This window comes from Homo sapiens, chromosome 7 (assembly GCF_000001405.40).
Source record: "Homo sapiens chromosome 7, GRCh38.p14 Primary Assembly".
NCBI classification, from domain to species: Eukaryota; Metazoa; Chordata; class Mammalia; order Primates; family Hominidae; genus Homo; species Homo sapiens.
The window spans coordinates 98,974,839-98,988,738 of NC_000007.14; the positions used below are offsets into that span (position 1 = coordinate 98,974,839).

A 13,900-nucleotide genomic window follows, 5' to 3' on the forward strand; every position below is an offset into this window, starting at 1 on the left:
TAACATGTAATAGTTTCTAACCTGATGCAGCTGTGCTGTGATGATGATTTTTTCAGGGATTTTGATCTTTGAGGATTTCGACACTTGGGGTTAGGGTGTATAGAATTGTGTCTTTTGGGATTCTGATCCAAACCCCCACGGTTGGAGTTGAGCAGCTTTATCAGCAGGTCAGTGACCTTGCTGGGCTCTTCAATTCTCCCCAGCTCTTGGTCTCCGCTAAACTGACGTGGAGCTGAGAGCCCCTGATGGGCTGGTCAGGGTGAAGTGTGTGGCCATGTGAGGGAAACTGTGCTTACTTCATCACAGTCCTCACAGGGCAGCCTGATGACAGATACTTAGGAGCGTTCTTTACCTAAATGTTTTCACCCATTTTCCTTGAAAGATTTGTATCCTTGGTGTCTGTTTTTAGTAGAAACGTGAATGTGCCCATGGTTTCCCCCTTGGGTTTGCTGCAGGACAAATGAAAGCATAATCATGTCCCTGGCACTCTGCCACCGTGCCAGGGCAGCAGGGACAGTGTGGCTGTCAGCATGTGCCCCAGCCCTGTTGCGCCACTGCCTGATGCCATGTAGGGTGTCTCCTGTGGGCTAGAGCAGCCTCAGGCAGACCTAGAAACCTGGCTGTTAATAAGGAATGTTGGCAGCTAATTCAGATCAGATCTTCAAAAACAAGAGGGCTGGGATGAGATAAACACAACTGTGAATTTGCTGTGCCCTCCAGGCCCTCAGTTTCGACTTCGGGCTCTAGTTGTCCAGGCGTTCCGTTCCAGTCCGTTCCATTCTCTTCTGTTCTGTTTCAGTCCGTCTCGGTCATTTTCTCCTGCCTCTTGTCCACTGCAGATTGCAGAGACTGAACTTTCAGTTCTTGATTTGTTCTTCAGAATAATACCTGTTGGCAAATAGTTTATGTCATATACGTGTGTTTTCACTTTCCTATTTTCAGTGGCCTGGGCCTCGGTGACATCTGTGTCCTTCTAAGTTACTCTTTCAGTCTTGTCAGTGTTTTTGTCCTTCTTGGATATGGTGGGATCAGTAGTGTTAAGAAACCCCCTTAAAAACTAAGGACAAATGCAGGCGCCATTGCTGAGCCTCTCGGGATGCCTGGGCTTGGCTGCTAAGTGCACCATGGCTTCCCACCACTCAGGATCTGTGGGCTTTTACTCTAACATGGCATTTTCTCAGATCTTTGAAACTTTGAAAGTGGAGGAGCATCGGTAATGTATGAGACAGATCATGGGTGTCTTCTGAGCGTGGTTGTGCGAGGCACCCCCAGCCCGTGGCCATCTCAGCCTGTTGTCTTTCTGTTCATAGACTGGAGCGCTGCTCAGCGCTTTCGTTCAGCTGTGCCACATTTCCACGACGCTGGCAGAGAAGACGTGGGTCCAGCTTTTCCCCAGATTGTGGAAGATCCTCTCTGACAGACAGCAGCATGTGAGTGTATCTTTAAAATCCTGTTTTGGAAAATTGTAGTTTTAGCTTTTGGTAAGTATTCATAAAAGAACACAGTCTCGAACAAGTTTCAGAAAATGAGGGAACCGCTGGCTGTCACTCGAGCGAATTAGGAAAGGTATTCTTGCATCGAGAGAGACAGCAAGACTTGCCGATTTTTGAATGAAGGCCTAAATGACATGTGCTTTGGTTTCAGGCACTCGCGGGTGAGATAAGTCCATTTCTGTGCAGCGGCAGTCACCAGGTGCAGCGGGACTGCCAGCCCAGCGCGCTGAACTGCTTTGTGGAAGCCATGTCCCAGTGCGTGCCGCCAATCCCCATCCGACCCTGCGTCCTGAAGTACCTGGGGAAGACACACAACCTCTGGTTCCGGTCCACGCTGATGTTGGAGCACCAGGCTTTTGAAAAGGGTCTGAGTCTTCAGATTAAGCCGAAGCAAACAACGGAGTTTTATGAGCAGGAGAGCATCACCCCGCCGCAGCAGGTGAGGGTGCGCCTCAGTTTGTTAATTACCTCTTCCCTGCCAGTGACTTCACACTTTAAATAAATACTCCTCCCAAATGATTTCAAATGACAGCACAGTGAAACTATTTTTAGGGGGGAAAAAAAGTCTCTGTCTCAAGCACTCAGGAACCTTACTTTGTGTTTTCAGGAGATACTGGATTCCCTTGCGGAGCTTTACTCCCTGTTACAAGAGGAAGATATGTGGGCTGGTCTGTGGCAGAAGCGGTGCAAGTACTCGGAGACAGCGACTGCGATTGCTTACGAGCAGCACGGGTTCTTTGAGCAGGTAAACCTCAGACCACTGACGGTCTTGGGTGTGTAATGAGAGGTCATTTATAACGGTTCTTTAATAAAATGTCCTCAAGTCGGAGTTCACGTTCTCTTTTTTTGAGATGGAGTCTTGCTCTGTCGCCCAGCCTGGAGTGCAGTGGCACAATCTCGGCTCACTGCAACCTCCACCTCCCAGGTTCAAGCGATTCTCCTGCCTCAGCCTCCCAAGTAGCTGGGATTACAGGCGCCCACCACCATGCCCAGCTAATCTTTGTATTTTTAGTAGAGACGGGGTTTTGCCATGTTGGCCGTGCTGGTCTCGAACTCCTGACCTAAGATCCGCCCACCTCGGCCTCCCAAAGTGCTAGGATTACAGGTATGAGCCACTGCGCCTGGCCCATAGTTCACATTTAAATACGTTTTAAAGCATTTCAGTCCCGCACGTAAAGGCTCTATGACTGAAGTCTGCATTTAAGAGATACCTACGTATATGACATGAGCTAAAGCACAGTCCTGATAAGTCCTTTGCATTAGATGCCAGCGTGGATGCTTTTTCCCTCCCGTCGTTGGTCCTGTTGGAAGTGATAGGTTTTGTTTTTGCTTACGTTTTACTCCCTGTGTCTGCCCTTCAGTGTGGCTCAGGCCACCATTTCAGGGTGCAATTCCTAGCACTGTGTAGGGTGCTGTGCCGCGGAAGCTCCAGAAGCAGATGTGGCCTTGCGGCTCCTGCTCCGATTACTAAAGGATGGAGAAAGTAATCCCACGTCTGGACAGCCTCTCCTCCTTCCATTCTGTTCAGGGAATCCCACTGTCTTCTGTCTCTGAACAGAGAGCTGCGGGCATTTAGTGCTCCTGGAGAAGAGCTCCATGTGCTCCCAGGTCTGTGATTCAGCCTGCTCTAGACAACTGGGCCATGGCAGTGAAAAGGCTGTGTTTCTTAGCCAGGTGCAGGCAGGCACCTGTAGCCCAGCTACTCAGGGAGTCTGAGGCAGGAGGGTCCCTTGAGCCTAGGAATTAAGAGTTTGAGTCCAGCTTTGGCAACATAGCAAAACCTCATCTCAAAAAACTTAGTTCTAAGTTTTAAATTTAAAAAGAAAGAAAAGGTGTGTTTCTAGTTAAACAGTGATTTAAAAACATTAACTTTTTTTAGGCACAAGAATCCTATGAAAAGGCAATGGATAAAGCCAAAAAAGAACATGAGAGGAGTAACGCCTCCCCTGCTATTTTCCCTGAATACCAGCTCTGGGAAGACCACTGGATTCGGTAAGCCAAACACAGTGCTTGACGTGTGCATGAATCAGTTAAGGGAACCAGGGAAAAATCTCTGACCTTTTCTTGTAATGAGCGTTTTTTAAAGAAAGCTTTGCTACTTTATGGCCACATAAAGAACAAATAGAAACCCAAAACCAGCATTTAAAGCCTTGAGTAATTAAACAAGTCAACTGGAGAAGCAGTAAACTGTCCCTGCATCTCCCCTGGCTCCAGTGCTCTGGGCTGTCTGCTGAATAGCAGGTGGTTTGTGGTGTCCAGGGTGGGCAGGGGGCTCTCCCCACAATGGAGCACACCTCCATGTCCCACAGAAGTCCACTCTTACTGTGTTGTTCTTCTGTAGAATGGAAATTTGCTCCTTAAAACCCTGTCCCTGCCTTTGTGAATTCATGAGTGTGCTGGTGATTGAGCTTTTGCTCTGGGATCTGTGGTCTTCTAGATGCTCCAAGGAATTGAACCAGTGGGAAGCCCTGACGGAGTACGGTCAGTCCAAAGGCCACATCAACCCCTACCTCGTCCTGGAGTGCGCCTGGCGGGTGTCCAACTGGACTGCCATGAAGGAGGCGCTGGTGCAGGTGAGACGCCCCGGGGGCATCCCTGCCGCTGCCTGGGTCCCTTTTCCTGAAGCTGCAGGTGTCTCTTGGGAGATTTCCCTTAGAACAAGCATTTTGGCAGTGGAAAGACAGCTTTTGGGAAGGAAAGGTTCCTTTTGATTGTCTAACACCTTTCCTGAATTTGAGTAATGACACTTTTACAAAATGAGAAATTGAAGATTAGAAATAGTCACAAACTATGAACTAGAAGATGGAATCGAGGCCAGGTGTTGACTTCTGGTTTGGGACCTGGGAAATGACTCATTGGATGCAGGGAGTTTGTGTTCCTTAGAGAAATAACCAGTCATTTATATCAGTAAAAATACATTCTTCCCTCAGTATCCAGGACACCCCAGCGGTACCAAAATCCACGGACACTCAAGTCCCTGATATAAAACGGTGTAGTATTGCATGTAATCTCTGCACAGCCGCCTGGGTTCTTTAAATCCTGTCTAGGTTACTTACAGTACCTAATACAGTGTAATTGCTACTTACACAGTTGTTTTGTTACACTGTAGTTTTTAGGGAATGACAAGAAAAAGCTCTGTACATGCTTAGTACAGATGCAGTTTTTTTTCCCCCAAATATTTTCCATCCACAGTTGGTCAAATCCACACATATGGAGGACCAGTTGTATATATTTTGCTGTCAGAATGCATTTACGATGCTTATTCCTTCTTTACTCTGACAAAACATAAAATTGAATAAGTATTTGTAGCTCACCTTAACGTTCCCTTCTTTCTCCTTCCCAAAGTTTCCCTTAGCTGGATATATGCAGCGTCACATGGTCCCGAGGTCTCACAGATGCATTTCTTCTTTCATAGATTCTTGATCATTTTATAAAACTTGTAAATTACTCACTGCTTAGAAAAAAACTCAAATATGTGAGTAAACATCCTGGGTAATCTGCACTAAATTAATTTCAAATAGTCTTGAAAAGGATTCAGCAAATTACTTCTGTCTGTTTCTGTGCTTCCTAGGGTAGTTTCTTGGTTTCATTTAGTAAGTGGGTTAGCTTTTTTTCAGTGGGGAAAATAGAAGAGATGCCGTTTTTCTTAGTGTAACTGAGGGTAGGTGTTGTAATTGGCAAAAATCTATCTCAACTAATGTTCGAGTCCAGACCCTGTGACATTGGTGCCAATGTGGAGGGTAATGTTGGAAGCTGCTGTAGTCTTGTTTGCCTTCCTGAATTTCTTCTTCAGTGGGTTATCGAGAACTAAGAGGTACCATGAATGTGCTTTGGAAGAGTAAGATGTCAAAAACAAGCCACAGTGTCATATAATTGTGGGGTGGTGTCATTATTACCATTATTGCATGCAGTCCTTGGGACAGATACCATCATGGCACTCATGTGTGTCCCTTTTATTGTTATTTATTGTTTTCCAAAGAGGAATGTTTATTGATCTTGCTACAGCAATTCCTGTAAACTTCCCATCATAGAGATGTCCTTCCATCTTTCTAATCACAGAGATGTTTGAAAACTTTCATGAAAAAAATTTTTTAAATATTTTTAAATGAGATTAACAAAATGTGAGGCGTTCCAGTGCTTTCTTCAGAAGGTAATGAGCCAAAAAAAAAAGAAAAGGCCTTTTAGGGCAGAAAGGAACACATGGTCTCCACCTGGCTGAGGAGCGGTTGGCCCAGGCTCATCGGCTGCTCCATGGAACTGACGCTGGAGTGCAGGAAATCTGGGGGACATTTTATAGTAGGCAAGAAAGTGTGGCTTTAAAATGACAGTAAAATTTGCACATGTTCCCTCATGTTCATGTAAACCTGAATTAACACCTGAACGGTTTAATTTCCCAGGATAACAATATGAATTGGAAGCAATTCAAAATTACACCCATGTGGCCGGGCGTGGTGGCTCACGCCTGTGATCCCAACGCTTTGGGAGGCCAAGGCAGGCAGATCACTTGAGCCCAGGAGTTTGAGACCAGCCTGGGTAACAGCAAGACCCCCGTTTCTACAAAAAATAAACAAAAATTAGCCTGGTGTGGGGTACATGCCTGTAGTTCCAGCTGCTTGGGACACTGAGGCAGGAAGATCACTTGAGCCCTGGAGGGGCTGTAGTGTGCTATGAGCATGACCCTGCAGTCTAGCTTGAACGACAGAGGGGGACCCTGTCTCAAAAAAAATCACACTGATGTTTATCATACTGGAGATTAATATATATATAACAGCTTAAAATGTGCTGATTGGCCAGGCACGGTGGCTCATGCCTGTAATCCCAGCACTTTGGGAGGCTGAGGCAGGCAGATCACCTGAGGTCAGGAGTTCAAGACCAGCCTGACCAACATGGTGAAACCCATCTCTACTAAAAACACAAGAAATTATCTGGGCATGGTGGCACACGCCTGTAATCCCAGCTGCTCAGGAGGCTGAGGCAGGAGAATAGCTTGAACCTGGGAGGCAGAGGTTGCAGTGAGCCACGATCACACCACTGCTCTGCAGGCTGGGCAACAGAGCAAGATTCCGTCTCAAAAAAATAATAATAATAATGCCGGCTGACTTGTTAGCAGACTGTGTGATTTTTCATCTGATCTGTCATAACAGCATTGATCAGTTTCTTTTCTTTGGAACAACTGATGACCTTAAAGCCAGAAGCCTGTGGTATGCTTTCATAGCTAGAGAGATTGGCCGCTCACTGGAATTTAGAAAAGGAGAGTATCCAGAAAAGACTGTGTAAACGCATGACTTCTCTAAAGAAAATACATTTCTATAGCCTAATTTCTGTGTATTGCCTTGCATACCTAGTGACCAAAAAAAGTGATCTTTTTCCTGTTTGACACTTTACACTGAGGGAAAGAAGGCCCCTCACGTCCTGTGTCACGTTCTTTCACTGCCAGGTGGAAGTGAGCTGTCCGAAGGAGATGGCCTGGAAGGTGAACATGTACCGCGGATACCTGGCCATCTGCCACCCCGAGGAGCAGCAGCTCAGCTTCATCGAGCGCCTGGTGGAGATGGCCAGCAGCCTGGCCATCCGCGAGTGGCGGCGGCTGCCCCACGTAGTGTCCCACGTGCACACGCCTCTCCTACAGGTGCGTGCGGTGCCCCCATGCGAGCACAGGCCTGTGGCCTGTCGCAGCCAAGCGCCGGTGTCCAGGCTTAGGTCTGCAGACTGCTCCGGACAGCAGAGATGAAACTCCTTCTGCTTGTCTTGTCCTCTCCCACTTATACGCGTCCTCAGGAAAGGAAGGCCACAGTTAAAACGTTGAGAAAAACATGTCGGTGTTTCTGCGGGATTGAAGACATCCTCACAGTGATTCTGGTTTTGAATTTTGCCTGAGGGATTGTTTTCAGTGCCCACTGTGCCACCCTCAGTTACAGAGTCCATCGCTCTGTTTTCAGCAAGCTTTTGGCGGGAGCTGGAGGGACAGGGTTAGGAAATGTTTTCCGAAATCTGAATGTAATGAGTTAAATTTGAAATATAAACAGAAAGCACAGATTGTTCTAGGCAATTTCAAAAATTACTGTCAACCAAGATACAGAGTATTGAACTAAGTGTTATGTTTAGGAGATTAAAAAACATTTTAAAACAATAGATTCTGCCTCAAAGGAGCATTGAACCTGAGACAGCGGGCATAGCCATAGAAACAAATTTACATTTGGAGGGAGACTGTGATTCAGAGCCATGCTCATCAGACAGAAAATCAGGATAATGAGGATCGAGGGAAGGAAGATATCGTGTGCGCCATAGAAGCCAAGGACAGAATTTGGATAGGCTGAGGATTGTGGCCAGGGCCTTCCAGGTGAGAAGGTGGTATCAGAAGTTTGGTGCCAACAGCGCATCTGGAATTTAAGGGTAGTCTACCTCCCAGGCTCATAGGACGGTGACTCAAAAATGTGTTTACATTTTATGGGTCCAAAGAGGTCATGAGAACCACGTTTGCAGGTGCTTAGTGTGGCTGTGGGGTTTAGCAGGCACGTTGGGAAAAGGCACGCCTGCAGCAGGGATGCCAGGCTGTCCCGACCTTAGGCATTGCTGGACAAAGAGCCGGGCAGGGAGGGTGGCAAAGGGCATGGACAGCAGGAGGAGGAGTTTTGAGGACTGCCCATTAGCTAGGTTTGGTGTCTGTACCATCGTTCTCCCAGTCTCCTGTCTCTCAGGAGCCACAAGCTGAGGTTTTAAAATTGGAGACACCATAAGGAAAGTAGTGTTTGGGGTGAACAGTAAATGAAATGTGGGATCTCAGGTGTCTGTGGTGTAAATGAGAGTGCTTCCTTTGGTAATTGCATCATAAGATCTTTGCGATAATCATGTCCCCAATGGACTCTGGTGTGTTTTTCCCGTTTGATCTTTACTGACATTTACCGCAGAGTCTCTTATGCTGGTCCCATCAGGCAGCCCAGCAAATCATCGAACTCCAGGAAGCTGCACAAATCAACGCAGGCTTACAGCCAACCAACCTGGGAAGGAACAACAGCCTGCACGACATGAAGACGGTGGTGAAGACCTGGAGGAACCGACTGCCCATCGTGTCTGACGACTTGTCCCACTGGAGCAGCATCTTCATGTGGAGGCAGCATCATTACCAGGGTAAACCGACCTGGTCCGGCATGCATTCATCATGTAATTTTCCAGACGCCCCACGGTTCTGGTTTCGTCTCTGTGTTTTGGTTTGGTTTGGTTTGGTTTTTTTTTCCCCCAGGTTTTCTATTTTGGGGTAGGGAATGACAGGTCGGGGTGGTAATGGTACAGGGAAAGATGAAGGTGGTAGAAGAAGTAAAGTTTTGTTTTTTGTTTCTGTACCTGTTACATTTTTCTAGTTGGGGCAGAATCGTACAGGCCGGGGGGATCAATGCTCTGAGCCATGGCACTCTGCGTTGAAGGTCCCATCCCAGGACGAGTTGTGCTCAGGTGGCTCTGCGTGGCCTTTTCTGGTTTTCCTGGTCCCCCTCTTATCCCCTAAACCTGTCAGGCATCCACGTGTTTAGAGCAGCCTTTGTCATTTTATGATTTGGTTAGCCAAGATGGTAACACTCCACTCAAGAATTAGCACCTTTTAAAAGTTGCTTATGGCATAAAATACAAAGTAACGAGGGTTTATCACAGAGCTGCCCATTTTCATAAGCCATGTGTGTGTGTGTTTCATTTTTTATTTAAGCCTTGTTGTGAAGTGCTTTGAAAGAGGATCGGTGTGGGCTAATGATTCCTTTCTTTGCCCTCTAGCGATTGTAACTGCCTATGAGAATAGCTCTCAGCATGATCCCAGTTCAAATAACGCTATGCTTGGGGTTCATGCATCAGCTTCAGCGATCATCCAGTATGGAAAAATCGCCCGGAAACAAGGACTGGTCAATGTAGCTCTGGATATATTAAGTCGGATTCATACTATTCCAACTGTTCCTATCGTGGATTGCTTCCAGAAGATTCGACAGCAAGTTAAATGCTACCTCCAGCTGGCAGGCGTCATGGGCAAAAACGAGTGCATGCAGGTGCGGACAGGACACTTGAAGAATGAGGCCAGGTGGAGATTGAGGCCAGGTGGAGAATGAGGCAATGTGGGGTCTCCTGGTTCAGAATATAAGGAAGGTGGACTCGAACTTTCCACAAATACAGCCTCAGTAAGGGGGAAACAGTCCTTCCAAAACACAAAAGGGAAAGGAAGCTACTTGACTGTGAATTACAGTCTCTTGTGGTCTCTGTCCTACTATATACTTAGTTAATGTGTTTAAGGAAAGAAAAAAATTACACACTACAGAATTATGAGGATCTAAGATAGATTTTGACTATTTTCAGAGGAATCTTGATAAGAACAATAAAACCGACCAGACCTATAAAGCTTTGGAGAAAATAAGACCCCTAAGTATTTAGGATTAAATACTTAAAGTTAGCTTTAGTAATTCAGTTTAAATTCTGAACGTCAATCAATAAATATTCATGGTAGGCAAATCTTTTGTCAATTTAAAGTACATTGGTCAATGACTCATAGGACTTACTGCCTAGATTAGTATTTTATGAGGTTTTCATATTGTTTAGAAATTTCAAGAACTTTTTTTCTGCTCATTTTTTTTGAACAGGGCCTTGAAGTTATTGAATCTACAAATTTAAAATACTTCACAAAAGAGATGACAGCCGAATTTTATGCACTGAAGGGAATGTTCTTGGCTCAGATCAACAAGTATGTATGTTATATTGAAAGGATAAGAGAAAAAATGCATCAGATTATTTAAAGTTATTTATAACCTGAAGCCAATGTGAAGCTCAAGCTAGAAATGGGTATGATTTGGTGACAGTCATTAGGTAGGATTTTTTAGGTACTGCACCTCTGCAAAAAGAGTAACTTGTGACAAATTGATAAGCCTATTTGATGTGTAGTATTTTAAAAGCTTTTCTCAAATGAGCTACTGGATCACAGAACTGCTGATAACATGGATTCATTTCCCCATTTCCTCAGTCCGCCATTTACAGAGCTGGTTCGTTTTGTGGAGATGATTCCTGCTTTAGACCAGGGGTCAGTAAAGGATGGCCTGGGGGCCAGCCACATCCAGCCACTGCCCTGTTTTTGTCAGTGAAGTGATATTGGAACACATCCCTCCCCACTGATGTTGCCTGTGACTGCTTTCGCTTTACTGCAGAGTTGAGGAGTTGTGATAGGAATCGTATGGTCTGCAGAGCCTAAACCATTTGCTGTCTAGCCCATCGCAGGAAAGGTTGCCAAACCCTGGTTTAGAGAAGTAAACGTCAGAGGAGATTTTGTAAATATCATGCAAATGAGGTAGACTCACAAGATGCTGCCTGTTGCCTTGTGTAGGCTCCAGTGCCTGCTTTTCACATCTTCAGTCTGTGGGGCTTGCATGTTTAGCTTATTTTTAAATTAGGAAGCAGTTTTGTCAACATAAAAAGGTTTTATCTTTTTGTGTAATGTTTTAAATTCATGTGACAGACACAACCATTCCAAAGTGTACAATTTAGTGGGTTTTAGTATATTTACAGTGTTACACAACCATTACCACTAGCTAATTCTAGAATATTTCCATCATCCCCCAAGTAAACCCTGTATCTGTTAGTAGTCACTCTCCTTTCTCCCCTCCCCCTTTCTCTTGACAACTACTAATGTACTTTCTGCCTCTATGGATTTGCTTATTCTGAACATTCATATAAATAGAAGCATACACTGTGTGGCCTTTTGTGACTGTCTTCTTTCACTTAGCAGGATGTTTTCAAGCTTCATCCATGTGCTGTCATGTATCAGTAACCTGTTCTTTTTCATGGCTGAATAATATTCCATTGGATATCCATACATTTTGTTTATCCATGCAGCAGTTGATGGATGTGTGGGTTGTTCCTACTTTTTAGCTACATGAGTAATGCTGGTGTAAACACTGAATATGTGTCTTTGTGTGAGCATGTTTGAGTTCTCTTGGTTATATACCTGGGGACAGAATATCTGGGTCATATTGTACTTCTCTGTTTATCTTTTTGAGACATTGTCAATCTTCCACAGTTGGCCGTACCATTTTTACATTCCCACCAGCAATGTTTAAGGTTTTAATTTCTCCATATCCTCACCAGCACTTGTTATTTTCTTATTATTTATCTGATTATAGCCATCCTAATGAGTATAAAATATATTTCATTGTGGTTTTGAATTGCATTTTCCTAATGACTGTTGATGCTGAGCTTCTTTTCTTGGTTTTGATTGTTAGTTTGTAATTCTTTATAGGTCTGGATAAAAGTCTCTTGCAGATATATGATTTCCAAGTATTTTGTCACGTTCTGTGGGCTGTCTTTTCACTTTTTTGATAGTGTCCTTTAATGTACAAGTTTTTAATTTTGATGAAGTCCAATTCATGTATTTTTTTCTTTTGTTGCTCATACTTTTCACGTCTTCTAAGAAACCATACCCTAATCCAGGATCAGAAGCATTTATTCTTATGTTTTCTTCTAAGCATTTCATAGATTTAGCTCTTACATTTGGGTCTCTGATCCATTTTGAATAATTTTTTATGTGGTGTGAGGTAGGGGTCTATATTTATTATGCTGCATGTGGATATACGGTTGTCCCAGCACCATTTGCTGAAAAGTCTAGTCTTTCTCCATTGAATGGTCTTGACACCCTCATCAAAAATCAGTTGAGGCCAGGCCCAGTGGCTCACACCTGTAATCCTAGCACTTTGGGAGGCTGAGGTGGGAGGATCACTTGAGCCCAGGAGTTTGAGACCAACCTGGACAATATAGTGGAGACCCCCATTTCCAAAACCCAAAAAACAAAAATCCGTTGACCATTTTTTGTGGGCTTATTTCTGGACTCTCACTTCTATTCCATTGATCTGCTATGTAGAGTCTCATATTTCCATATGAATTTTAGGTTATTTTCATGTATTTCTGCCAAAACAGTTGGAATTACGACAGAGATTGCATTGAATCTGTAGATCAGTTTGTGAGCATTTTGCCATCTGAAGCAAGTTTTCCAGTTTGTGAACACGAGATGTCTTTCCACTAGTTTAGGTCTTCTTTAGTTTAATTCAACAATGTTTTTTAGTTTTTAGTGTACAAGTCTTGCACTTATGTTAAATTTATTCCTCAATATTGTCACGTGAATGGAGCCATTTTCTTCATTTTCACATTGCTCATTGCTAACATTTGGAAATACCAGGGTTTTGTATATTGATCTTAGATTTCTCAACCTTGCTGAGTGTATTTGCTCTAATAGCTTTTTGGGGATTCTTCTTTTCTGTGTATAAGATCGTGTCAACTGCAGGTAGAGATGGACTGACATCTTCTCTTCCAATAAGGATGCCTTTTATTTCTTTTTCTTCCCAATTGCCCTGACTAGAACCTCAAGTACAGTGCTGAATTAAAGAGATGAGATCCTTGTCTTTTTCTTGATCTTGGGGAAAGCCATTCAGTCTTTCAGCCTTGAGTATGATGTTAGCTGTGGGTGTTCTGTAGATGCCTTTTATAAGCTTGAGGAACTTCCCTTCTGTTCTAAATTTGCTGGGTATTTTTATCATGAGATGTTGTTGGACTTTTTTCAAATGGCTTTTTCTGTGTCCTCTGAGATGATTGTGTTTTTTTTCCTTCATTGTTTTAATGTGGTATATCACATTGATTGGTTTTATTTATATTGACTTTTTTGTTTTCTGTGTTGAACCACCCTTATTGCTGGGATAAATCCCACTTGGTCATGATGGATAATCCTTTTAATCCGCTGCTGGAGTTGGGTTGCTCATTTTTGTCGAGGATGTTTGCGTCTGTATCATAAAGCACCTGGGTCTGAAGTTCCCTTGCTATGTCTGGTACATTGCTGGTGTAATAGTGAAGCGGTATAACTGCTGTGGAAACAGTTTGACGGTTCCACAAAAAGTAAGCATAGAGTTCCCACGTGACCAGCATTTCCACTCCCTGGTATACACCCAGAAGTGTTGAAACAAACAGATACCTGTTCGGGAATGTTTGTAGCAGGACTATTTGCAATAATCAAGATGTGGAAACAACACAAATGAACAGATAAACAAAATGTTTATGTTCTATGTGTGCAATGGAATGTTATTCACTTGTTAAAGAGAATGAAGCACTGACACAGGCTTCAACATGGATAAACCTCGAAAACACTGTGCTAGGTGAAAGAAGCCAGATTCAAAAGATCACATGGTGTATGATTCAATTTATATGAAATGTACAGAACCGGTCAATCCACAGAGACAGAAGGCAGACTGCAGGTTCCCAGGGGCTGGAGGTGGGAGGGGTTCAGAGCGACTGCTTATGGGGCGGTTGCACAACATTGTGAATGGACCAAATGCCCCGCAGTGTTCATTTTATAATGGTTAATTTCAGATTACGTGAAGCTCGCTTCAATTGAAAACCATACA

At 44.1% G+C, this 13,900-nt stretch overlaps 1 protein-coding gene across 3 annotated transcripts in view; it reads left to right on the forward strand.

Annotated features, from left to right (window-relative positions):
* Positions 1–13,900, forward strand: part of TRRAP (transformation/transcription domain associated protein) — a 134,710-nt gene that overhangs the window by 96,307 nt on the left and 24,503 nt on the right. For 2 of the 3 annotated variants that reach the window (NM_001375524.1, NM_003496.4), the window contains 9 exons: positions 1,311–1,430; positions 1,645–1,932; positions 2,101–2,238; positions 3,373–3,485; positions 3,931–4,066; positions 6,931–7,122; positions 8,426–8,621; positions 9,255–9,520; positions 10,106–10,206. In NM_001375524.1, the coding sequence (NP_001362453.1) occupies positions 1,311–1,430; positions 1,645–1,932; positions 2,101–2,238; positions 3,373–3,485; positions 3,931–4,066; positions 6,931–7,122; positions 8,426–8,621; positions 9,255–9,520; positions 10,106–10,206 (1,550 nt within the window). Of the gene's footprint in view, positions 1–1,310; positions 1,431–1,644; positions 1,933–2,100; positions 2,239–3,372; positions 3,486–3,930; positions 4,067–6,930; positions 7,123–8,425; positions 8,655–9,254; positions 9,521–10,105; positions 10,207–13,900 lie in introns of all 3 variants that reach the window. The other variant, NM_001244580.2, reaches the window with a different exon arrangement.